This window comes from Homo sapiens, chromosome 14, assembly GCF_000001405.40.
Source record: "Homo sapiens chromosome 14, GRCh38.p14 Primary Assembly".
Classification (NCBI taxonomy): Eukaryota; Metazoa; Chordata; class Mammalia; order Primates; family Hominidae; genus Homo; species Homo sapiens.
Window position 1 is genome coordinate 61,023,950 of NC_000014.9, and position 25,752 is coordinate 61,049,701.

Genomic DNA, 25,752 nt, shown 5'->3' on the forward strand with positions numbered 1-25,752 from the left:
GAAGAAAGAAAGGACTAAGAGGGGAGAGGGGGAAAAGCTAGTGACCTGGCTTAGTACTCCTTCAAGAGCAAAAAGAGAGTTGATTGACCAGGAAGAGAAAGCCCAGTATATGTAAGTGAGCATATAGTTTTTAGGAAAGCGTCTACTGTTAGAACTTCACAGAAAATCGTTTTTCTCCCCCAAGATTAATCAGGCACCAAGTATTAGTCACAAGGCTCTAGTGTGGTCTGACAAATTGATTGAAAAAATCTACTGTCTGTAAATCTCTAAATTTTATAATGGAAAAAAATGCAACACACTAGATTTAACACTCTTATTCTAAGGTTATAGAAATCCTTGGCTTTGGAAATTTGGGAACCATATAGTAAATTACTACTTAAAAGCAATTCCTGATATCTTCCCAATACTAATGAATAACAGGCTCAACATTGGCTAGAGCCAGAGGTAACCCTCTGCAGCCCATTTCCTCAGGTGCTGGAGTAGCATTTGTTGAGAGCCACTGCTACTGGGACCCAAAGTCAGAAAAGATGTGTCTGGAAGTTTTAACATTTAATGCTGTTATAGGGGACAATTCTGGCTTAGAGAGTTTGAATTTGGCAGCCTAACTAAAGATAAAAGATTAATAACTGTAGTAGAAAGTAAGTATAAGGTAGTTTTCACATAGTTCCTGTAACAGTGTTGTATTATGTGATTCTTTTCTTAAAAACTAAGGTAAGTAGTTGGTTTCACATTCATTTGAACTCCTGAAGTAAACCATTCAGTAGGCTAGAATTATCACTAGAAATCAAACACTACATCCCAATCATCTTCTTAGTCAAGCCAGAAAAAGTCTTATTAACTCTTACAAGCACATGATAACAGTGAAGTCAATTGATGTTATTTCTGGTTTCACAACTTGCCCAATTCAAAATGTGGAAAGATGAGTAGCTCCTAGGGGGATGTTATATTCTTATTTTGCTCTTATAAATATGAAGGATTACTATGAATAGCATATGCTTTCCTTAATTCTTCAAAGCCCCAGTTCTTTAAAGGAGATTAAAAATTTAATCATTACTACGTTTTGTGAAAGGAAAACCATAAACATTAGTAGTCTTACTGAAACCTCCTGAAATTGCTAGAATGACCCAGATGTTTCAGTCTGGCACAGAATCCACACACCTTACTCTTGCAGCCTTTATTAACACCTCAGTTTGGTAATCTATGGACTCGGGTAACCCCATTTCTAAATCTCAGAAAGGTATAAATAAGATCATTTTCAATTGAGAATTATAAAAATCTCAAATTCTCAGTATTTGAAAAATTCACAATATTAGATGCTAGAAACTACTTGGATTTGCTTTCTTCCTGTATATTCATTCATGCATTTTATTTATTTACTTTTTGGTAGGCTAGTAAAGTACTAAGAGTGTTTCAGATATACTAGTTTGTATTGTCTCTTGGGAAACTAGGATTGGGCGCGCAGATACATCGCCATCTGCTGGTCAGTTTATCTGTGGTGAAACTGCAGCTTTCTTGAGACTTGTCTAGAAATTCTAGAAAGCACTGCCTTAGAATAGGAGAGGTACAGGAAATTTGGAGAGTCTTTTTCACAAGCACTTCATTTGACAACATTTACTGGTAGTGTATCTTTTTTAAGGTTTTGAAAATATTTTTCATAGTAATTTCTATTGAAAATTATAAAATTTTCAGAACAGTAGATATTTTGGTCATTTTTTAATCAAATTTAAGATCCTGAAAATGATAAGACAAAGATATACATTTTTTTCTAGGGTCATGGGGGAGCATTTTCCCCCATATATTTTGATTTTCATTTATGCATGTGTTCTGTACTATTTGAGTGCATATAGAACTTCAGTGGCATTTAGATATTTTGTGGGACCACCAGATTAATGAGACACATTGAATAGAATAAACCAGTTAGTATCCATGACTAAAAACATGTTTGAAATAAAATTGAATCTCTCTGAGACAGAAAGGCAAACTTATTTTTTCCCCGTAGCACATCCGTTTGTTTAGGGCTGAGTAATCCTTTAAGAATTGCTGAACTTCCCCCAAGTGCTGAAAACCTAATTCTGTTTTAAAAATAGCTGTAAGTAATTCTGTCCTCATACATATATTTTACATGTTTAACAAAAAAGATTCTTATCTTCATAAACTGTAATGATGTCTTAGGCCCAAACTCCAATTAGGGTTGGTTTGTTTTTTTTAAGTTTGTATGCTTAATAACGACAACTTGGGAAGCATTTTCAGAGTGCTGCGAAAAATAACTCATAAGAATACAGTATTTGGAAGCACAGAGACTGATTTTTATTTTTTGGATTTCAGTGGAGTGTTAATATTTCAAATACGTGAGAATAGGAAACTTCCTCTTCAGAACTACAATCACAGCCGTAAATACAGTAGAGTCATAGCAGTAGATGCAATAGAATCTCATCATGAAACTCCATGAATTTTGAACTAATCACATCACCAAAGGAGCTCCAATACTGAAAAATGAAATACATTGAAAATATATCTCAAGATGAAATGAAAATTCTAAGTGTTACTAAAGCTTCTGACTAATGTTCTCTGTGATATTCATTTCCTTTGAAGTCAACTGTTAATCTCAGCATTCAAAAGTAGTTTGTTTAAATACTGATTTAAAAAAGAAAAATAATTCTGAAGAGTGGTACTTCTGGTAGACTTTCCTTATTTGTCTTTGTTTTGTTGGTTTACTTTTTCACTTTGCTCCTGCACTTTCTCATGGCATACTAGTTAATAGAACGAGTTTCTCAACCCAGGCGGGCTGTTTGCACCATCACTAGCTTGGGCAAGTTACTTCTTTGTGCTTCCTTATATTCTGTGAAATAAGTAATATGTACCTCACAGGTTTGTGTAAAGATTAAGTGAGGAAATAACTTGTGTAGAATACTACCAAGCATACAGTAGGCATCTAAAAAACAAAGATGTTAGCTGTTTTCATGGATCTCTGCCCAGAGTCCCTTCCCTGTTTCTGTGTTTCTAACATCTCTCCTCTCAACCTCCCGGGCCCAATTCATTTATTTCACTTTATAATTAGATCAGCAGATATTAACACCTTGCAACTTGCTATTACCTAATCAGATTTTACCCCATTTTAGTCACTTTTTAATATTACTGTTGCTTCTCCATGTTGTTTTTAAAGAGTGCTTTCAACTTCTGTGTTTTCAGTTGACAGATGTTTTATTTTTTCCCAGAGAAGTTTCTATTAAATGAGTTATATTAGTTTAAAATTAAGTAGAAAAGAATACCTATTTAGTTAATGTGCTAAAACTAAGTGATTTATAATGGCTGAATACCTGACATCAAGGTATATCTTCTGGCACTGATTTTGGCTTTGGTGGTTTGGGGCCACTTAACTATATGCATGGCTCTTGTGGATGACCCAGTTGCAGCTATTAATTTAGAGTAGAACATGGTGTGTCTTGTTTTAGGAATCTATACTAGGTGTCCATGTCACCCAAAATCATTTGCAAATTTTTGCTTATGATTGGTCTGTAAGATAAGTGCTTAAACACTTTCTTATGCCATTTATAAAAGACATAAGACAAAAACTGTGGCAGACAGCTATTTGATCTAGTAAACCTTTTAGTTAAAAACAAAGGCAATATGAGCATTCCTATCAATAGTATATCTTTAAAACTTTTCCAGTTCATTTTATTGAGCTGATTGTTCTTTTGTATGAATTTAATTAAGATATATTTCCTAACTTAATGTGTATTTGGTAATCTTTTTGTTTCTTTTCTGTATTATATATAATATAATGTGTTAAAGTGCTAGCTAGTTCTTACATGAAAGTTTACTTGTGATTAAGAAAAAAATAATTTTCATAGTGAATAGAATGGTGGTGGCCTTTGTTTTACTGGCTTAATCCGTGTGGGTTTTCCCCTATAGTAAGTTCTGTGGTTGTATACTCTTAAAATATATACTAACATTCTCTAGAAAAGAAGCAATGTTTTGCATGTTTTATTATATTTGTATCTTGTATGTGAGGTCTTCTTTGAGAGAGAAACACGTTTGGTGAGTTCATATTTCTTAAAATATACATGATTCTTCAGACTGGAATCTAATGAAATAGTACTCCCATTTGAAAACCAAAGAGTTGAGGGTACAACAAAGGATAAAAGTGATCAGATGATTAGCCAGGGGCTAATAGAAATTCTGGAAAGAATGACAGATATTATATTAGAAAGAAATAGGATCTCATATTCACTGAAGCTTTCTACAGCTAAAGGTCCAAAAGAAATAATAGAAAATTACTGAAAGAGATGAATGTCTGAAACTTTAGAAATGCATGTGGTGTTGGATTAATCCAAGCAAGAAAGAAAGATGGGCAGATAATAAATTACATTTTATAGGAAGTCTGCTTTCCTTGTTTTCAAAGTATTTTGTCTTTTTTCTTTTCTGTCTCTCTCACAAGATATATTTAAGTAAGTCTAGGCCGGTTTCAGAAAATTCAGTTCACAATTTTTATCTTTGCACCATATGTGTAGAGTTCTTTGGAATCGGTAAAATATTATAAAAACTCCAAATCCTTGAATGGAGAAGGTTAGTCTAAACCTTCCTTCTGTTCTGTGCCAAATTGATAGCATTTTTCCTTACGAGAATATGAACAATACAGAACACATTTTCACATACAATCAGTTGTAATACCCCATAACTAAAAGATTTTGCAGAAATGTCTCAGTGGATTTTAGTCAACCCACTGAGACATAGCTGTACTTCTGCTAGGGAAAAAGAAATCGTTGTAAACTGAAAAAATATGTATATGTATATTTTCATCACAGAGAAGTGATTATTTAACTGTTCTAAATTTTACTTTGACATAAATACATGTTATTTTACTAAAAAAAATTGAGAGTGTATGTTTTTGTGTCTATAGTATTATCTATCTCCATACAAATTTACACGCAAAGTAGCATGTATCCTTTTTTTCCTCAAGTTAAATGGTCACATAGCATTGTAATCATGAAGTTCAGCTCCTTTCAAATGATGTTGATTGAGAAATATACATTCTTCTTAAACTATTTGAGCCTTTTAATCAATTTTTCCCCAGATTTTTGCCATTGAAACTTGACTTTCATTTTTGTTCTTAGCTTTTGTAAGTTTTGTAAGGAGAAAGTGAAATGTTTCCTGATATATAAATAAGTAATAAAATTAATGTGCACACAAAGTATACTCTTTATTCTTTTTTTTTTTTTTTTTTGAGGTGGAATTTTGCTCTTTCACCCAGGCTGAAGTGCAGTGGTGCAGTCTCGGCTCACTGCAACCTCCGCCTTCCAGTTTCAAGCGATTCTCCTGCCTCAGCCTCCCAGGTTAGCTGGTATTGCAGGCAACTGCCACCACGCCTGGCTAATTTTTGTATTTTCAGTAGAGACAGGATTTCACCATGTTGGCCAGGCTGGTCTCGAACTCCTGACCTCGTCAACCGCCCGCCTTGGCCTCCCAAACACTCTTTGTTCTTCATGGGCGTTTCCTTTTTGGCCCCAACACATACACACAAACATAATCTCTGGGAGGAAAGAGAATCTTACTCTGTTAAATTGAAGTTCTGACTACAAATCTTCTGAGTTTCTATATATTTAAGCTTAAACTCAAGTATTTACATATGAATGAGTTCTGTATTCTGTAACCATATTAAAACTTTTCCTAGTATTTTTATAGAATTTGTTTTTATAGCTACATCAGAATTAGGATCGTTATTAAAGTGCTATAAAAGGTAGTTATTTATCGGACTCTGTTAGATTAAATGTGAGAAATAATGCTAGCTTCAGGTTATGATTACATAATATAGATGAACCCTGTTAATAAAATGGAATAAAAGTTGGAAGTTTTGTCTTTTTAATATATTTAATGGTTTATATTGAACTTTCTCTAATCTTTTTAGAGACTAATTTTAAATGTAATTCATTATGTATTCTTTTTTATCCTATAATTATATGTGTTCATAATGCAGGGGTGGGTAGTAGAGAGAGGAAAAGAAAGGGACAGAGGGAATGAGACTTCTCTGTTGTGGGGAGGCATCTTTCTCTAGTAAGAAGGAACAGATAATCCAGTTACTAGCCATACCTATTAAACTTCTGTGTCTATGTCTGTTGTTGCTAAACTAACCTCTAATGCCTTAGACGGAGTGATAACATATAAGAGAGTTTTTGTAAAACTTTGTACAAAATTTCATTTAAAAGTAGCCTGTAATCAAGACTGTTTCTCTTACCTAGTTTGCTTTGGACTTGAAATGTAAACAAAAGATACTTAATGAACTTAACAATTGTTATTCTTCTCTACAGTTACTTTTCTGTGTGTGTGTGTGTGTGTGTGTGTGTGTGTGTGTGTATGTATCTTTGGTATAGTGTGTTATATGTTAATCTTCCATATGTTGTCATAGCTCTAATGGACATCTCTTTTCCTAGATGGATTATTGTTTAAATGGTTAAGAATCATAGAATTCTAATAGGAACACTATTTATTCTTTTGCAGCTATGTCATCTTATCTTTTAATTATTAAAACAGAGCTTCCTGCTGCTATTGCAGAATTTTTGACTGGAGACTATAGTAGGTAAGAAAAAGTATTTTACATTGTGTCCGTTCATGTATTAATTTGATAAATATGTATTAAGCTGTAAATGGCAATACTTGTAGTGGCAGGTAAAATAAATGTAGTCCTTGCCCTCAAGACAGTTACAAATTAGGCAGAAGTGAAGCAGTAATAGAATAGAAACTACTCAGCCAATGTTTGATTACCCATATGAAAGCGCTGTTCTGTGAACCATATGAAGCACCAGATATAATCCTTGCATTCCTTGGGGGTGTGAGATAGGCTAAGACAGGTCTGAGATTGAGATGCTCTTAAGGAGGAATAAAGGGTAAATTTCTGGGGATATGCAAGACACAGGTTGGGGATGGGAGAAGGTTGAATATACTGACAGTACGGGTCTTAAACAAAGGAGGGGAGTGAATGATATTGCTGTCATTTCTCAGCAAATCATAGTGATAAAAAATGTGGCAGTTACAACTATACCTGTTTGAAATTCCTATTATATACCATGGCAAAAAAATAAATTATTTGCAAGGACTTAATTGTTTCATTTCCTGTTTTTGAACAATATTATAAACAATACTAAACTACATTGTATCTCTTTTATCTTTCTTTAAAAAATGCATCTTACATTTTTGACTCACCTCTTTATAGGGAAAAAACAAAATTAATTGTACTTTTCACTGTGTAGAACAAGAACATTCTAGAAAAAGGAACTTGAAAAGACAGAATAAATCATTTTAATTGCCATCAAGTTATTTCACATAGTTAAGTTTCAAACCACAGTACAAAACCTGTCAGACTTTTAGATTTGAATACTGGGTTGTTCTGCTTCAATAATTGAACTTGTTCTGGAATGCAAGGAAAGGTTTCAAAAATTAGTTTTTAGCTTTTACATTTCAGCTTCCATTAAAGAATTCTACTTAGACAACTGCAAATACATATTTGTAAGAAAAGTGTGGTGTACTTTAGATCTGAATAGAAACCATCAAGAAAATGTAGTTAAAAAAAGACAAGTAGAAGTCCTAAATGATTTCTCTTCATCAGAAGATATTGTTCCTTTGTATGATACTTTACAGTTAATGAGGTTTCCACATGCATTATCACATCTGATACTCAAAACTACCTTATTTTATCTACAGCTTTATCTAGTTACATTTTGATTTTATGCTTAGGTTGATAAACAATTCCTATAAGAAATAGCTATGTGAAATTCATTTTTGTATCTGCTGTAAAAAACATTGAGGGCACCTTCTATTACTCAAATTCTATGTGAGAAATTTATATTTTAGGGTTAAGAACTCAAGGCAATATGAGGTAGAATAAAGAGGGCTAGACTAAGAGTAAGGAGATATGTGTTCTATCCATTTAATATTCAATAATCTCAGGAACTTAATTTAACTTCTTTTGACTATATAAAGTACTTGGAGCCTTAGGTTTTTTTATGTGATATAATGGGGGTACCAATATTGCCTTCTCAATAAAGTTGCTGGGATGATCAAGTAAGATATATATACACATGCTAATAGCATGTGTATAAACAAGCATGTGTGTACACAAACTTACAGCACAGTGTGGAGAATTAAGGAATTCTAATAATTACTATATTAAACGTGGTGTTTCCCTTTTTGCCCTGACTGCCAGGAAGCTCAGAGTCAAATGTGACACATTTGAATTAATATAACTGTGTTAATTCCAACAGTTGTCACAAGTGTTTTCTTTTTTCTTGATCCTGAATTTGGTGGCTCCTATTTATATTCTTTTATTGTCATATGTCGGTGGAAAGAGGAGGGATTAGAAATATATGTAATATTTTAGAAATAATTAAAGTAGTATGTGGCAGAACTGGTATTGAAATTTAGGTCTTCTTTCTCTAAAAGTGATATTTTTACCGTAGCTTCATTTTAAATAATTGGCAAATGATTTACATTGTTGCATTGATTTTTTTGTTTTTTAAATAAAAATTAAAATGAACTTCCATCTCATTCATATTAATAGAAAATTGATTAAAATGTTATTTTTACATGTTAGAAATACATTTTTAAAATCATATACTTCAAAATACTGTGGTCAGTTTGCATCATCTCTGTTATGTTTTAAAATTGTACATCTTTTTAACAACCTTATCTTGTTTTAAATGTAATATATATTCATTTATTTTTGGCTAATTATATTAACTTACTTGAATGCAGATAAATCATTAGTCTTGAAAGCTTGATGCTAGAAAATAAGTAAGAAACAAAATATGATAATTGACTTTACTATCCATAAAGGACAGTTTTTTTCTAGATAGACTTACAGTAGGCAGTATTTCTTCTATGAGAGAAACATGATATTGATAAGCTTTTATTTTAGGGTTTGATATACAATAAATTTTAATTAAGATCTTTCAGGTATGCTAATTTTCTGGGTTATCTGCGAGCTTGGTGTACCTTTGAAATATAAATCTTTATAAAGATATCAGAATGAAACTGTGTTCATAATATTCTAATAGAAGTCAGAAGCTATAATACTTATACTGAACTTTCATGATATATCTATATATTTCATAGAATAACTTACATTTTTAAAATCTGTGGCTGTTAAAGTTGGAAGCTCTCTGTTAACATTTAATGATCTTGTCGGGGAATATGATTGACACAATTAAGTTGTCTTGCATTTTAGTTACATAATTGATATGGGATGTGAGTAAGATCCTAATTCAGAACATATGATACTCTTGTTCCATTCCTTTCGAGAATGAAATTAAAGCGACTTATAAATAAATCTGGTTTTCATTAAAATATGGAAAAAAACATCTGCATGCCAAAGCATTTGCAATACAGCTAAGGATTTATACTCTATATTTCATACTTGGAACATTTTTATCATACAGGATTAAATCCACAGATCAAACAAGTTCTCTAGGAAGTATAAAGGTTTTTACTCTAATTCTTTTGGCTTAAAGAGAATGTATATTTAGATCACAGTAGGAAAACAGGAGTTCTGTTAGATCGTTCTTTATTCCCCCCTTAGGAAAAAATTAAAGTTAGTACATTCTTCTGAAATGCTTATTTACAAAATAAATGTATTTAATATGTACTTTTTGAGATTTCTTTTTACTAGTTTGTTTTTCTCAGGCAGCAGTTTTATTTTGTAAGTTTAATAATTTCTGTTCTTTAGAAAATATCCATTGAGAAACACAATTCATTTGTCTGTGACACACATGTGAAATCTAAACTAATTTTACTGTGCTTTACTGTGTTGCCTTTATTGTTAATGAATGGTAAAGAAAAGCACTGTATTTAAAATTGGCTTTATTAAGATGAATTATTAAGGATAAGAAATGATTAACGATAACCAGTAGCCAAGACAAGGATAGAGAAATTACATTTTACAGTATAATTATTTTTATATTAAGAATTTAAAGTTCAATCCTATGAAAAGGAGAATGCAAAGCATGATCTTGAAATAAATGAGGTAGTATCTGAAAGTATTTCCATTGCTACTGTCACCTTCCTTTTGCTGATTTTACAGACATATAAAATGAAGTTGTTGAGCCAGATGATCTCTAAGGTCTCTTCCAGCTCTAACATTCCATAACTGTGATTCTGAGTTACTGCTGGGAGGAGGTAAAGTTATCTTCAGTCCCACAGTTCAGTGCTTTGGTCAGTTATATGACTTTTATGGACATAAATGAATTGTGATCTGAAATAGTATAAAGTAACTGGTGTACAGAATTTCAAAAAGTGTTCCTTTATTCCTGTGCAAGAGAAAAGAGTCCTGGTCCTGGGGATTAAATGCTCCCTTTTGTACAACTTTAGCTTCGTGACATTTTTTTTTCTTTTAAAGAGTGAAATTGGCTTATAATAATTTTTTGTTTTATTTTATTACGGTAAGAACACTTGACATGAAATCTGCACTCTCAACAGATTTTCAAGTGTATAATGCGGTATTGTTATCTACGAGAGACAGCAAAACTAACAGATGGAATCTCCTTTGGTACTCCTTTGGGCATTTTTCCTCCTGGCACTGCAACTGTCTGGGTCTAACATTGGGTCCCAGAAGGAAACACATTTCAGACATAGAGCCCTGGGCCTTTTGCCAGCTTCAGAAATTTGGTTGCCAGGTGTTCCTCAATGAAAGATCTTTTGAAGTTTCTGTTTTGATTCTTACTCAAGAGTGACTAGAAGATAAACACGTTGAGTATCATTTTTGTATTATTGATATGTGTACTCTTTTAGTACTTCCTGCATACCAGGAATTGAGGGGCATGTGCAAATGGAGAGAGCAAAGCTTCAGGTCCACTAAAGCTGTAAATACTTATGCATAGGTTATAGTTTCTGGCATATGTATTTCCTAATGATACAAATTAGGGTGGAGAAGGGAAAAGTGTCATCATGGTGCTGTTTCTGCAGCTGCTCCTTCTCTTGTTCTGTTAAAGAGGAAGTTGTCAGCACCCAACAGTAACAATTAAGTTCATGTTAGAAGCCACTGGTTGAAATCCATGTAGAAGACCTTTGCCTAATTTAACATGGCAGTGGGAGACTGGTATCTGGCAGAGAATGAAAGAGGATGCGTTATTGCAAAGTGGGAATTTTGAGATTATCTACCAAACAATTTGAAAAAGTCCCTATTGGTCTTTGATGCCCCAAGCTCCCATTTTTGCATAAGTTTTACTTTGTTACTATTGTGCGTGTGTATGTATGTGTATACACTTAAGTGTAAATATCTGACAGCTACGATAAAGAAAATTGAGAAAAAAAAGCAAAGAAAAATCATGCATAACATCTCTAACCTAGTCACTGTCCTTTTAATTCTTTTGAATTTTTCGCAAAAGCTTTCAAAACTATAGTTAATAATTATATTTATATCATCATCATTTTCCATTTTATTCATTGTGTTTTTTCTTAAAGCCACGTAACATTCCATTGAGTATGCTGTTCTAAATATTTTCAAATGTTGGGTATATAGAGTTTTCCTCCAGCTTCTCAATATTATAATAATATATTCAACAGCTTCACATACATAGAATTTTCTCTATTTTATTTTCTTAGATTGCCACTACATTTTTATTGCTCTTGCTACATATAATCATTGTTTTTCCAAGAGATAGTACTAATTGGCACGATCACTAGCAATGTATGAAGTCCAGTTGTGCCACATCCTTGAATATTTTTGTTTACTAATTTTGCTAGATTAATTGAAACAGTCTCATTATTTCTTTAATTAGCACCAGTGATTGGATTTTCTTCATGTGTATTTACTAGTTGTATTTCTTTCATGAATTGTTTCTCCTTTGCATACAAATCTATTGAGGTCTTGGGAATTAACTTTAACTTTTAAAAATGTCTACATATGTATCTCACATATTGCTCATATTGCTATCACATAAAAATATCTACTTTTTGGTATTTTAAGTATATCCTTCTGGCTTTATATGTGCATCCAGTTTTGTTTTTTTCAATGAACAAATACAAAATCACGTTAACCTACCTTTTTCTCATTCTGTATTCTAATGCCTTTATATGAAAATTTTAATATTTTACAATTGGTGATTAATGCCCTTTCCTGAAATTTGGAAAAATGTATATAGAAAACTATAAAGAAGAAAAATGACCTATTATTTTACCACCCAGAGATAATGGCTATCAATATATTTTAGTTCCTTTCCATTTTTAATGCATCCATGTTTTTCCTCAAAATTATCATGCTATATACACACAAATATATGATGTTTACTGAATATTCAGTATATTGTTATTTCAAAATTATCATGGTCTTGGAGGTTTGTTTTCAATTTTTATTATTTTAAATGTTTTCAGTAAACATCTTTTTATAAAAGTCTTTGTTCTTCAGGAACAGAAAACCAAACACCGCATGTTCTCACTCGTAAGTGAGAGTTGAGCAATGAGAGCACATGAACACAGGGAGGGGAACATCACAGACTGGGGCCTGTTGGTGGGTGGGGGCAAGGGGAGGGGGAGCATTAGGACAAATACCTAATGCATGCAGGGCTTAAAACCTAGATGACGGGTTGATAGGTGCAGCATACCACCATGGCACATGTATACCTACGTAACAAGCCTGCACATTCTGCACATGTTCTACGGAACTTAAATAAAATAAAAATTTACAAAAAGTGTATGTTCTTATTATTTTTAATAGTCTTTTATAAGTGTTTTCAAGTATATAATTATTTGAAAATTCTTTATATCTATTGCCAAATTGCTTTCCAGAAAGGTAATTTATATAATTTGCATTTTCACCAGCTTTTTACACACCTCATCACTCCTCACTAATGTTGACTATTATCTTATTTTTAAATATTTATTAATTCAGTAGTTGGAAATGGCATCTCTTTGTTTTTATTCATTTCTAAATGTCAATTCATTAATAAGAAAAATAGGATCCCACAAGAACATTTTAATGAAAGGAAGTAGGCTTTTCCTAATAGCTGGTTGTAATGGTTATAACTCTGTGTGTGTGTGTGTGTGTGTGTGTGTGTGTGTGTGTGTGTGTGTGTCAGAACAAACACTGGAGTCCCATGCCTAAAGTAGAACTTTTTTTATAATAGATATTGGTATCTTGATGGACAAACACTACTAATAATCATATGTGTTGGCATTGTGTTCCCTCTTGCACTTCTTCCCAAAATAGGTAAGTCTTTATAGAGCACATTATTTGTTTAGAAAAAGGAAAGAAGGGAGGGAGGGAAAGAGAGACAAATATTAAGGGGCTTTAAAATTTCACAGTACCACATTTTTGGCAGAAGGATGGTGGTTGTGTATAATTTTAAACTTGGCCTTATTTTAGGTTGTTCAGCCTTCAGCCCTGCCTAGTTAACCTATTACTTGGTTTGCAGTAGTATTTTGTCTGCCCCACTAAAATAAAATCTTTACAGCGGAACATTAAAGAGCAGCCTTTCCTTACAGTGTACCATTAGTGGTAAGCCAGTTCCAATTCTGCTGTACAGAGCTACATAAATGATCTGTGACAGATAGTTGGAATGTTGTTATTCTGAGCCCTAAGCCCCAGATACCAACCACTATAATAGAAAACATGCCTAAGATGTATAGCTTTAGTTGTACGTTAAAATCGCTTTCCTTATAAATTGCTTTTTATTTTACTGTTATTTTACAGGCTTTCTTGGCTACACAAGTAGTTTATCATTTTTCTTTATGATGTTCTTTGCTCTTGTGGTAAGTTTAAAATATAATACATTGCTTATCTCCTCACTAAAATTGGACTCATTGTGTTAGTCTTTTTTACTTTTAACTGTTTTGTGTTGGGAAGGGTATCTCATTTTATTTCACTGTGTTATTAAAAGCACTTTTGTTCCATTAAATTATTTCCTTCATTGTATCTATTTTGAAGAGGCTTAGCTAGAACAGCATTTCAAATTCAGCATTTCTTGTGGTTAACTAGAGAGGAGAGCGTGCCAATTCTGTTAAAATCCTAGATGGAGTGTAATTCTTTGTGTAGGTGTGTAAATTTATTCCTGTACCATACTGTATGAAGAATCAGTCTGGTTCTAATCTGTAAAATCTGTTTGAGACTAGTCATCTTAATTTTGAAACTTTATTCCATTAATAAAAAAACAGAGCTTCTGGTACTACATTGAGGAGATCTAGTAAGAACTGGGTTGACTGAATTCTATTTTGTCTGGTTTATTCAGCATAGATAAATTCTCATAAAAACACTACTACAAATATTTTTCTTCACATGTGGGATATATTCCTTATTTTTTAATTAGCTCATTTTTATTATATAAAAATATCAGATGGTAAATTTAACTTATTTTGATATTATAAAATAATATAAAGATAAGAATTTAAATTTATTTCCTTCTAATTCTTCTAAAACATCTTAACATTCTAAAGATAGTACCTTTGTGTGAAATTTTTTAAGTCTTTTTTCTTTGTATAGCAGTTTATTCCATAATCAGTATCTAAATGTCAAACCTTAAGTAGAAATAAACATTTTTAACTTTCCAAGAATATACATGTCCAAATGAGCTTTTCATAAGCTTGGTTCAACTCTTTCTTGTTTTTGAAAATGCATGAAAGAAACAGCCATATGTAAGAGCAGAACAGCACATCAGTAGTTAAGCCATATTAAAGATCCAGATTTCAAAGCTGTCAAAACAACCTAGGGTGCATTTAACTTAGGCTAAGCTATCTTCTGAGACACAGGGATAAAATAACTTTAAATTATTTAAACAAAGTGGAAGTGACTCTGATTTTAGTATATATAAGCATTTATTCTCTATTGAATGCTCTTAAAACTAAAAACATTTAACAGTGTTTACATTTAATCATTTGTTGAATTTAACAACATTAAAATCATTCCTCTTCTTCTCTCCCCAGTTGTCTGACTTATATCTTACAGATAAGTGAATTGAACATACACTTTGTAGGCTCCATATTGAAAAAGAAAAAAACTAAATATTTCCATCATCATTTGATTGTTGAGAAGTGTGGTTAGAAGTGGCCTACATATGCAAATGAATGTATGGATATTAAAGAGAATCAGTATAGATAACATATTGAATTTTTCTCTCACAGATAATTGGCAATGCAATCATTGCATAGATAGGAGTAATTTAGTTTTCATAGCCAATAGCTTAAAGCAGGTTAAATGTATTGATATGATATGTCTACTGTAGTTTTGTTTCTGTCATGACAGATACTCTTTAATTCAATGCAGATTTCTAATGTAGCAGCCATATGGAAATAATACCCATATTCTACATTTATTGTAATGCCTTATAAACCATCTGCTCAGATTTTTACCTGTGAGCACAGTTTAATCTACAGTGGGGCAATGAAGAATACTCTGTATGCTTTTTTAAATACTCTTTTTAATTGGCATGTTTATTTTATTATTTATTTATTTATTTATTTTGAGACAGAGTTTTGCTCTGTCACCCAGGGTGGAGTGCAGTGGCACGATCTCAGTTCACTGTGACTTACATCTCCTGGGTTCAAGCAATTCTCCTGACTCAGCCTCCCAAGTAGCTGGGATTTCAGGTGCATGCTAATTTTTTTTTTTTTTTTTTGTATTTTTAGTAGAGATGGTGTTTCACCATGTTAGCCAGGCAAGTCTTGAACTCCTGACCTCAAGTGATCCACCCACCTCGGCCTCCCAAAGTGCTGGGATTACAGGCGTGAGCCACCGTGCCCAGCCACCATATTTATTTTAGATTCTCTGAATGTTATCTTTTAAAATACATAGTGGTTAGGAAAAGGAAACGTATATATATTAACCCAGAATTTTGGAAGGATACCAGTTTTTCATTTATTATTCTTGTCAATATGTGTTTGTAAATATGTATAGCATTTATATCATATTTTTTAAAAATCAGTTCAGGAACTATTATTTTCTTATATTCTTTGAATAATATAAACTAAAACCTATATTTTATCTGTTCTCCCAGATCTGTATTTTCATTAAAAAAATTTAACCTAAATTTTTGCCCCCTCTAAAATATTTTGCAATTTTAAAAATAAATTATATCTGTCTCAGAATGATACCATCAAGATGGATTTACCTTTTTTTGGTAAATTTACTTTTTTTTTGGTGTATTTTAGAGCACAAGCGGATTACCATTCGTTCTAAAAGTTCTATCTTAAGTACAGATTAGTATTCTAAGCAACGTTTTAATACGTCGGTAATCCAGTTAGACAACTTTTTTTTTTAAGAGACAGAATCTCACTCTCTCCAGTCACCCAGACTGGAGTGCAGTGGCATGATCATAGCTCACTGCAGACTCAAACTGCCGGGCTTAGGTGATTCTTCTGCCTCAGCTTCCTGAATCACTAGAACTACAGCTGCATACCACCACGCCTGGATAATTTTTTTTTTTTTTTTTTTGAGATGGAGTCTCACTCTGTCACCCAGGCTGGAGTGCAGTGGCGCCATCTCGGCTCACTGCAAGCTCCGCCTCCCAGGTTCACAGCATTCTCTTGCCTCAGCCTCACGAGTAGCTGGAACCATAGGCACCCGCCACCACGCCTGGCTAATTTTTTGTATTTTTAGTAGAGACAGGGTTTGACCGTGTTAGCCAGGATGGTCTCGATCTCCAGACCTCATGATCCGCCCGCCTGGGCCTCCCAAAGTGCTGGGATTACAGGTGTGAGCCACCGCGCCTGGCCAGATAAATTTTTTTTTAAATGTTGGTAGAGACAGAGTCCCATTATGTTGCCCAGGCTAGCCTTGAACTCCTATGTTCAAGTGATCCTCCCACCTTGGCCTCCCAAAGTGCTGAGATTATAGGCGTGAGCCACTGCACTGGCCTGAAATAGAGAATTATTTAAATGGTTTTTAGTCAGAAGCTTTGCTTCTACTGAACACTATGTTAGGCATTTTAGGATGTGGAAATTTAACCTGGACACTAGTCTTAAGGATCTGTCAATCTAGTAGGGGAGATAAATTTCTTTTCAAACATGGAGAACAGTGTGTGCAATATATAAATAAGTATTGATATATTTGCTTCAGAATAAGAGTCTCAAGAGTTGAGAGGAGAGAAGGCTCACTGAGAGCTAGAGTAAAGAAGGATTTTAGAGGAAATACAACTTGAGTTGAGCCACAAAAGAAGCAAAGGGCTTAGAGCAGAGAGAAGGAAGGGAGGCCTTTTGTGCAAGTGAACAAATATTTTTAATACTTAGTCTCCTTTTTCCCTTTGTCATTCCAACCCCAAGACTTACCTTCTTACCAACCTAAGCAAGGACTTCCTGTTAATCTTTCCTCTCTGTTGTTGGGTCTCGTTTCACTCCCGTTCTGTACTTCTGCTTTGTGGGACATCATCTCTATCCACCCCATACCACCATACAGGCTTGGAGTTGGGATGGATCTTTGCAGAGAAATTAGCTGTAGTAACTGAACTGTCTATTAATATAAAATCAGGCTACTTCTTATTTTTTTCAAATTAATAAAAATTAATGATAATATTGCACTTTGGAGCATTGCTTTGAAATATTTTGATTTGAAAGCTTAAGAAATAACAACTGATAAATGAGGCAGCTCACATACAGAGTTTATCTAGGTACCTGGTGCACAGCAAGTCCTCAGTAAATGATTTTTTCTGCCAACACTACCACTGTTAGTTAGGGGAAAATATAAGAAACTGAATTTGGGCCTGTGCAGTGGCTCACGCCTGTAATCCCACACTTTGGGAGCCTGGGACAGGCGGATTACTTGAGCCTAGGAGTTTGAGACCAGCCTGGGCAACATGGCAAAATCTATTCTCTACAAAAAACACAAAAATTAGCTGGGTGTGATGGCCACACACCTGTAGTCCCAGGCACTCGGGAGGCTGAGGTGGAAGGATGGTTTGAGCCTGGGAGGTGGAGGTTGCAGTGAGCTGAGATTGTGTTACTGCACTCCAGGCTGGGTGACAGAGTGAGACCCTGTCTTAAAAAAAACAAGAAAAGAAACTGAATTTGGAGCAGTTTCACCCTCACCTCATCCTCATCGTTTTTTTTTGTTGTTGTTGTTTTTCTTTGAAAACCTATAAAGATAATGATGGTGAGATTATTGCTTTTGATTTTGTTATTTCCTTTTGGTAAGTTGACCGTTTCATTTTATGTCATATTGAAAACTTACCTAGAAATGTCAAAGCAGCTTGTCTAGTTTATCCTTCTACAGTAATTTTTTTCTTGGTGAGGTTTTTAATTAAGAGTGATTCTTTAGTTCACTCATTAACTTAATCCTAAAAGTATATGTTTTCCTTATATTTGTTTTATCACTGTGTAAAATTTTGATTAAATTAGTCAAAATCCAAAACTAGGTAAATACCAAGTAGGAATAGAAATTGTGTTTACATATTGGTCTCCTACAAAGAACAAATACTTCCTTTATTCTTTCTTGTCCTTTTGTGCACTGGGATTCACCCTGGAGCAAACATTTACAGAGTAATTATGTGCCCTGAAACAACAGCAACAATGGTAATATTGACAGAGCCACAGCTATAGGTCTGATAACAGGATGGCCACAATTAAGAGTAAAAACATGAAACATTTTCATTGATTAATTCTGGGAAACAGCATCCCTCTGGATTTCTTTTAATGTTTTTTTTGTTTGTTTGTTTGTTTTTACCAGCTGGAGTTCCCTAGCTATATGCTCCTATTCCAGCCAGCTTTCTCCACATTAACCAAAAATAATTCAGATCTGTAAAAGTAAGGAGGGGCAGCACTTAATGTGTACATCAGAAATCCCTGAGCTCCTTCTGAGTATAAAGTCTGTACTTATTTCTTCCTGTGGCCTTTCCATAAACTGCTGTTAAATGTTTCTCTATTCACTAATACCTACTCTACAAATAACCATATTCCTGTGTGACAGTCACTGAAAACATCATGTTCCTGTTTTGAGTTGCACTTAAAAAAAAATGCCTTGATGCTGTTGGAATTTTGAAAGTTGACACAGGAGTACCCTTAGTCTTTAATGGGGGAGATCTCTACTTAACACCCTGCAGTCTCCAACCGCCTCCCTACCACAGGTGACCATGTTAAATGTTGACCCCATTCTAACCGGGAAAAGTCACAGAAGCAGAGACTCTTCTATTAGCATCTTATTTAATTGAAATGATACTGACCTATTTCAATTCAGTTTCTTATTAATTTTATAAGAAATGATCTGAGTGCTGATTCTGTTTACTTTTTTAGGTAATAATTAAAAAATGGTCCATCCCTTGTCCTCTGACATTAAATTATGTAGAGAAAGGTTTCCAGGTAATAGCTTATATTTTCTTTTCAGTTTCTTCCTTTTTATTTTAACTAAAAAGAAAAGAAAGACTAATGATTCTTTTCTGATTGATGAAAAAGTAATGGCTATATTGCATTTTAGAACTTTGTTTTGAAATACTTTCATTTGAAAGCCTAGTAATAATAAATTCATCATTTTTATTGATATATTCTGAAATTTAATGGCTGTTGGTTTCTCTTTTTCCCCTCAATGCTCTTAAACAGATTTCAAATGTTACAGATGATTGTAAGCCAAAGCTCTTTCATTTCTCCAAAGAGGTGTGTAAGTTATTAACAGATACTTTTAGTTGATTTTTCACATTTCAAGTTTTAAGAGGTTTGTGTAACAGGGTCTCTTAGGTCTTTGTACCTGTGACTAATTAATTTTCATGAAAGTGCTAAGTATAGGATTGCCTACCAGAAGACTACTATTATTTAACACAGGGTGGCCTATTATGAAACAGCCACCTTTTTTTTTTTTTTTTTTTTTTTCCTGGTATGCCTTTGAATGGAGCCTGTTTTAAATGGGCCTCTGCCTGAAAGAACAGATTTACCGAATGTCTGGTCTGGCCAATAAGGTCCTCTGTGTATACCAACTTCCTGTTGCCCTCTGCACTTGTAAAGCTAAATAGCCAATTATATCAAAAACTCTTCCCCTGTGAGTAGAACCTTGGTCTGTAGCTAAACAGCCTCATCATTGGACTAGGGATTGAGCACTGCCAATATATCTTCTGGCCGACATTCCAAAGTTGAAATTCATGATGCCAGGAGTAGAGACTAGGAGACCAAGTCCCTTTGCCTTCCCTAAAAGCCATAGGATACTGGAAATGCCTGTAAGAGCCCCTGAGCATCAGCAGAGGAGACAAGAACTGTGACATGGATGGTCTCTGCTTTACCACTCTAGAAGAGCTCAAAGTCTTCCCTGTTGCTGCAGGCTTATTTGTCTATACTTTCTGACTCTGCTGAAATGCTATTTTGTATAGTTCCCAGATGCTAGAATCCCCCCTGCTCATGTAAAACTCTATTAGTGTAGAATGTTAGCTTGGTTACTCCACCATGCAGAATTTTCCTTTTTATCTCTAGTTTTTAAATGAGAAATATCTCTCTGGTCCCAAAAGGGAGATTACCACATCTTTTACATGGTAAAGACCTCCAGGTGCCGTAAAGATCTAGGTAGGATAATTGACAAGCCAGGAAACTGAGCAATATATGAAATGGAGAATTTGTGAATTAAACTCTCATTTTCCTAGTCCAGCCTCAGGAAACACTACAGCTTCCTCTCTCCTAACCCCCTTCAGATATTTTAAGACTCTAGGCATTATGTCCCAAGATAGGTCTTCATTTCTGGAATTTCTTTTGTTTAAGAGCCTGAAGTTAGTTAAGTGGAAATTTTTTTAGAGCAGAAAGGAGAAAATAGATCACCATCGTCTATTTGGTAAAGATGGTATTTTCACTTAAATGGTAACTTTTTTTGCTTTACTCTGACTCTTAAGTATTCTAATAATAAAAACAAAACAAAACCTTATATTTGTATATTACATTGGATCTCTTAAGAGTTTGTAGGTCTAGAATAAATGATATTCATTCCCATTGAAAGAGATCCTAATCAAAGATGCTGGCAATATTAAAATGTGATTAATATTTTCAGTATTCCCTTGGATTGAGTTCATGAAAGCAGGTTCAAGAGCATTAACTATTAGTGCTGCTTAGAGTAATAAGATACATTTAAATTGTGCGTACATTTAGAAGACAGAGAATTAAAAAAGAGCATTTCTAAAATGTTATTTTTATCTCATTTAAATATTATTTATCTTATGTAATTTTTAAAATCTTATCCAGATAATGTAGAAGTAGTGATTGTAGTAAAAGCAGCATGGTATGGGCAGCCAAATAAAAAATATTCTGGCTAGTACAGGCAAGCCCACTATCAAATAAAATATTTGCTGGATCACAAGTGTTTTTCTCTTTTAAAAAATTCTTATTTTATAAAGAGAAGACTCATTAAAGATGAAATAAATGTAATCAAATTGATTTTTTAAAGAACTGAGTTTGTTGTCAAATGAAATAATGGTTTCAGTAGAGTGGCATTTAATAATTTTGTCTCTTTAAAATTTTTTTCAGAGTGCTTATGCCTTACCAACCATGGCTTTTTCATTTCTCTGCCATACCTCAATATTGCCCATATACTGTGAACTTCAAAGGTACTGTAGAATCCTGGAATATTTTAAATATATTGTGTATCTTTTTACCTCTAAGGCTTTCGGATTGAATGACATCCTCTTTTATTAATCCTTTCCTCTCATCAGTGGATCCTAAGTGTTAGTTTAAAACAAAACAAACAAGAGTTAGTTCTGTCCAAGTTAAGAATGTTTCCTAGAAGTGTAATCTTTGAGGCTGGCCTGTAATCCCAGCACTTTGGGAGGCCGAGGCAGGCGGGTCACCTGAGGTCAGGAGTTCAAGACCAGCCTGGCCAACATGGTGAAACCCCGTCTCTACTAAAAATACAAAAAAAATAGCCGGACGTGGTGGCGGGCACCTGTAATCCCAGCTACTTGTGAGGCTGAGGCAGGAGAATCGCTTGAACCCAGGAGGTGGAGGTTACAGTGAGCCGAGATCACACTACTGTATTCCAGCCTGGGCGACAGAGCAAGACTCTGTCTCAAAAAAAAAAAAAGGAAGAAGTGTAATCTTTGTGTACTAATTTCGAATGAGGACTTCTAGTGTATAGTTATTGATGGAGTTGTTCTTGAATGAGGAATTCTCTCGACCAGCTTAGGACATACTTGTTTCTTTACATATAATTCAGATCACTTATTCTACCTTTGTCATTTTTGTCTTTTAGTCCTTCAAAGAAAAGAATGCAGAATGTTACCAATACAGCAATTGCTTTAAGTTTTCTCATTTATTTTATATCTGCACTCTTTGGGTACCTCACTTTTTATGGTAAGTACATTTTAAAATTATAGATGACAAAATAATAGTTACATAGATGGCCTCACGCCAATCTATAGACTTTACCTATGCCTTTTATTACTAAGTTAATTTGCTCAGATCACCAAATTACAATGCAGTACTGTGGTGGCTCTTGAGGCCTAAACAATTGGATTATCTTTCTTTTAGAAAGGTAGTTCAGGTTTAAGATTAATGACTTCTTATGAAAATTTTCTTAAACACTTAAGTAAAACTTCAGGCTTAGGGACATGATTCTTTCTATAAGAAAAAATGTGCAATTTTAATGATTCTGTTTTTCTTAAATTTTGAATTCAATATATTAGTCTAATTCAGAAGTGTGGGGGTTGGGTGAGTCAGTCATCTTAATTGCAAAAGAACAAGTTGAGAAAGGAAAGGGTTTTACACAGAACTATATCTGTATACTTAGATGTCAGACATCTCTGCCTTCAGATCTAATTATCACAGGATTCAGCAGATGTGCATTCTATGATGCACCATGACCTTCCTCCTTAATTATTTTTACAGGTTCTTTTAAATTTATGCAACAAAAATAAAATTGTGTTTTATTTCTTTTGCAAAAACTGTCTGCTTTGTATGTTGACTTTTTTTCCTCTTCTGATAAGAACCTCAAGAAAAAGTAAAGTTCTGTGTACACCATCAGGAAAAGCATTATTTCCAATGTGAGCATGGTGCCCTGCTAGAGACGCTACAAAGAAAGTTAAAACAGATTGTCAAGCTTTTCTGATCATCATTAATAAAACAAAATTACTTAAATATATAAACTTTATTTTTGGATGTTGGGTTTGTTAGTTTTTATACAGACTTGAACTCAATAAGACTTTTCTGTGTCAATAAGATACTGTAACAGGGTCTCTTGGGATCCAAAAATATTTTGTATAGTGGAATAGCTATATATTTCTTTTATTAAAATTGCTACCTGGCACAAACACTATTATATTTAGGGATCTTCAGCAATAAGAAAAAGTCCAAAAAAACTGACCTCCTTCTTCTCCCTATGGATAAATAGAACTATCTGGAAGAAACCTCAGATGGCTTGCCAATATCCAGGCTGGCTGAGAAATTGTTAGATGAATCACCATTAGGTGCTTAGAAACTGTATTAAATTGTAGCTGTATTAGATTGAAAGGGATGTGGAGGAAGGATGGAAGCTAATACATTTATTGAGCTAACATTTAAGACAGTGTCAGGTATTTTATATATACTCCCTAACTTAATCCTTATAACAATTCTGCAAGCTCAGTGTAGGTTCATTTAGGTTGAGTAATTAGACCAGATACTTGAAGCCAGTTAATAGTGGAATTGGGATTTGAATCTAGTTTTGTCTCTCTCCAAAGCCAATGCCTTTATTACTGTGTTGTCTACTCAGAAATTGTGCTATAGAAGCCAGATTTCCTTTATTCCAAGTTTTTGTTAAGGTGATCTTTTAGAAAAATATGACTCACTTAAGCTCTAGGCATCTATCTATGTATGTATCTATGTATAATCTATCTATCTAACATTGCTGCTTGAACACAAAGGCTAAAGGTTTTCATCATGTAGATGGCATGTTTCCTAGACAGGGATTTGTCTAATATCAAGTAAAACCATTATGTTGTCTCTGATTTAATCTCTTCTCCACTAATGCAAATTCTTCAGAGTATGCAAATTTTATATAATAGAGAAATACACATCTAAGAAAATCACATGGTAGGTAGGTATATGATTGATTAATAGGTAGGTGGGTAGGCAGATAGATGGGTGGATGAATAGATGATAGATTAGATAGATAGATAGATAGATACATACATACATACATACATACATACATACATACATACATACATACATACATAAATAGAATAAATGATACAAAAGTAGTAAGTTCTTCTCCAAAGACAGAAGAGGCAGATATTGATTTGCTCTTGGATTGTGAATCATAACCAAGAAAAACCTTTGATCATATCTTTCTACCAGGATAACAGGAGCTTTGTGTCATAGGAAGAAATTGCTGGTTGAACCTGAGATCTTATAAGGGCTAGCCTCAACTTAAGGCTTCCAATTCATTTTACAGATGAACAACTAAAGCCCAGAGAGGTGAAGTGACCTGTCACAGAATTAAAGGCAGGTTTCCTGAATACTAATCCAGTGTTATTTCTGCTACTTTGTGATAATCTTTGTAAACTTAATACCCTGTTTGACAATGTGTATTAAACAGGACAGCCTCCTGACTTCAATGGCATATATAACTTGCAGAGATCACCATTAGGCCCTTTCTGAGATTTGTAGAGATTTGTCTGAATCCAGGGAAGCATGCACCACTCTATCCCTCACATATGTTATGGCTCAGTTAAGAACACAGAGTGACTGGCTCAGAAGAAGTGTTTTCATCCTGGGAAAGTAGAAAGTGGACATGTGACATCTATTTTGAATTTGTAATAAATCTAGTTCTTCAAGATTCAGGAGCTGCTTTGGATCCTTTTATCCAGAGCTCCTAAAGTTTAATTTCTAAATTTGTCAGATTAAAGGGACTTATAGGTATGTACCTAGATTAATGATACTTGCTCTGATTACAGCTGTGAAAGGAAGAGAAAAGGGTTCCTCTGGTGAGCCAGGCCAGTGCCCAAATGTTGCATAATAACCAGGCCATTTAAAAAGTCTATGAGGTTGTTAAGCAAGAAGTGTTAATAGCTCATTTTATGATTCAGAAAATGGAAATAAAATAGTTTGCCATATTTCTCCAAAGACTCACAAGTATCTCACAGATTTGGAAATAGAATCCAGATTTCCTGGCTCTTCTTAGTCTCCTACTTAGTCCAAATCCCACATTGTGTAAAGTATGTTTTTGATACTTTGGACAATTCATTTCTCTCCTGTTTCCATTATCACTAGTCTAGTTCAGATTCTCTTTACCTCTCAGTGATTGTAACAGTAGCTGTTATGCCTGTTTGGGGTCTCTTTTTCTTCCAATCCGTACTCCTGCTTTAGTTCAGATCATAATACACTGTTCTTTGTAAGTCATTATTGCATTTCTGTGGCCTACCAGGTTGAGGCCACATCTCATGCAGAACTGTATTACTAGGTCTGAAATGCATTTCCAGCCCTATCACCCACACACTGTTTCATCCACTGTAGTACTTACTAGACCACTTATTTTCTCAGATGCACATTCCCTTTGCTTTGTTTGTGCTGCTCCTTGCTTCTAGAGAATCTCTTCCCCCACATCTTTGAACATCAGCACACATTCATTGACTCATGTAATGTTCTCAGTAACCCTATAGTTTAGTATATGGCCATCCCCATTTTAAAGATGTAGGAACTGAGAGACTCAGTGTAAGTTGCTAGTTACTGGTGGGGTTTGAACATGTTCTATGTCATCACAGTTTAGAATCTCCATAGCTCTTGTTTAGAACTCTCTGGCCACTTACATGTGTATATCACACTTTCTATCATAGCTATGTGTATTCATCTCATCTCTTCTTAAAGTTCCCTGAGAACAGAGGTATGTTTCCTTTTGTTTTTGGTTTC

The 25,752-nt window shown here is 34.0% G+C and overlaps 1 protein-coding gene and 1 long non-coding RNA gene across 24 annotated transcripts in view; one reads left to right on the forward strand and one right to left on the reverse strand.

Annotated features, from left to right (window-relative positions):
- The window catches only part of SLC38A6 (solute carrier family 38 member 6), a 102,489-nt gene that overhangs the window by 42,705 nt on the left and 34,032 nt on the right, over positions 1-25,752 (forward strand). For 15 of the 23 annotated variants that reach the window (NR_033344.2, XR_007063987.1, XR_007063988.1 and 12 more), the window contains 7 exons: positions 6,496-6,574; positions 13,110-13,192; positions 13,676-13,734; positions 19,198-19,263; positions 19,501-19,554; positions 21,397-21,476; positions 22,118-22,218. Coding sequence is in view for 19 of the 23 variants with exons in the window: in XM_017021022.2 (XP_016876511.1) it covers positions 6,496-6,574; positions 13,110-13,192; positions 13,676-13,734; positions 19,198-19,263; positions 19,501-19,554; positions 21,397-21,476; positions 22,118-22,218 (522 nt within the window). In the remaining 4 variants the exon portion in view is untranslated. Of the gene's footprint in view, positions 1-6,495; positions 6,575-9,638; positions 10,165-13,109; positions 13,193-13,675; positions 13,735-19,197; positions 19,264-19,500; positions 19,555-21,396; positions 21,477-22,117; positions 22,219-22,850; positions 23,006-24,201; positions 24,349-25,752 lie in introns of those variants that run through there. The other 8 variants (XM_017021021.2, XM_047431003.1, XM_047431006.1 and 5 more) reach the window with 5 other exon arrangements.
- Positions 7,278-25,454, reverse strand: LOC101927756 (uncharacterized). The gene is made up of 5 exons (XR_943921.2): positions 25,367-25,454; positions 21,525-21,587; positions 17,242-17,387; positions 8,736-8,773; positions 7,278-7,404 (listed from the first exon to the last, which is right to left on the reverse strand). It is a non-coding gene; the product is annotated as an uncharacterized LOC101927756 (long non-coding RNA).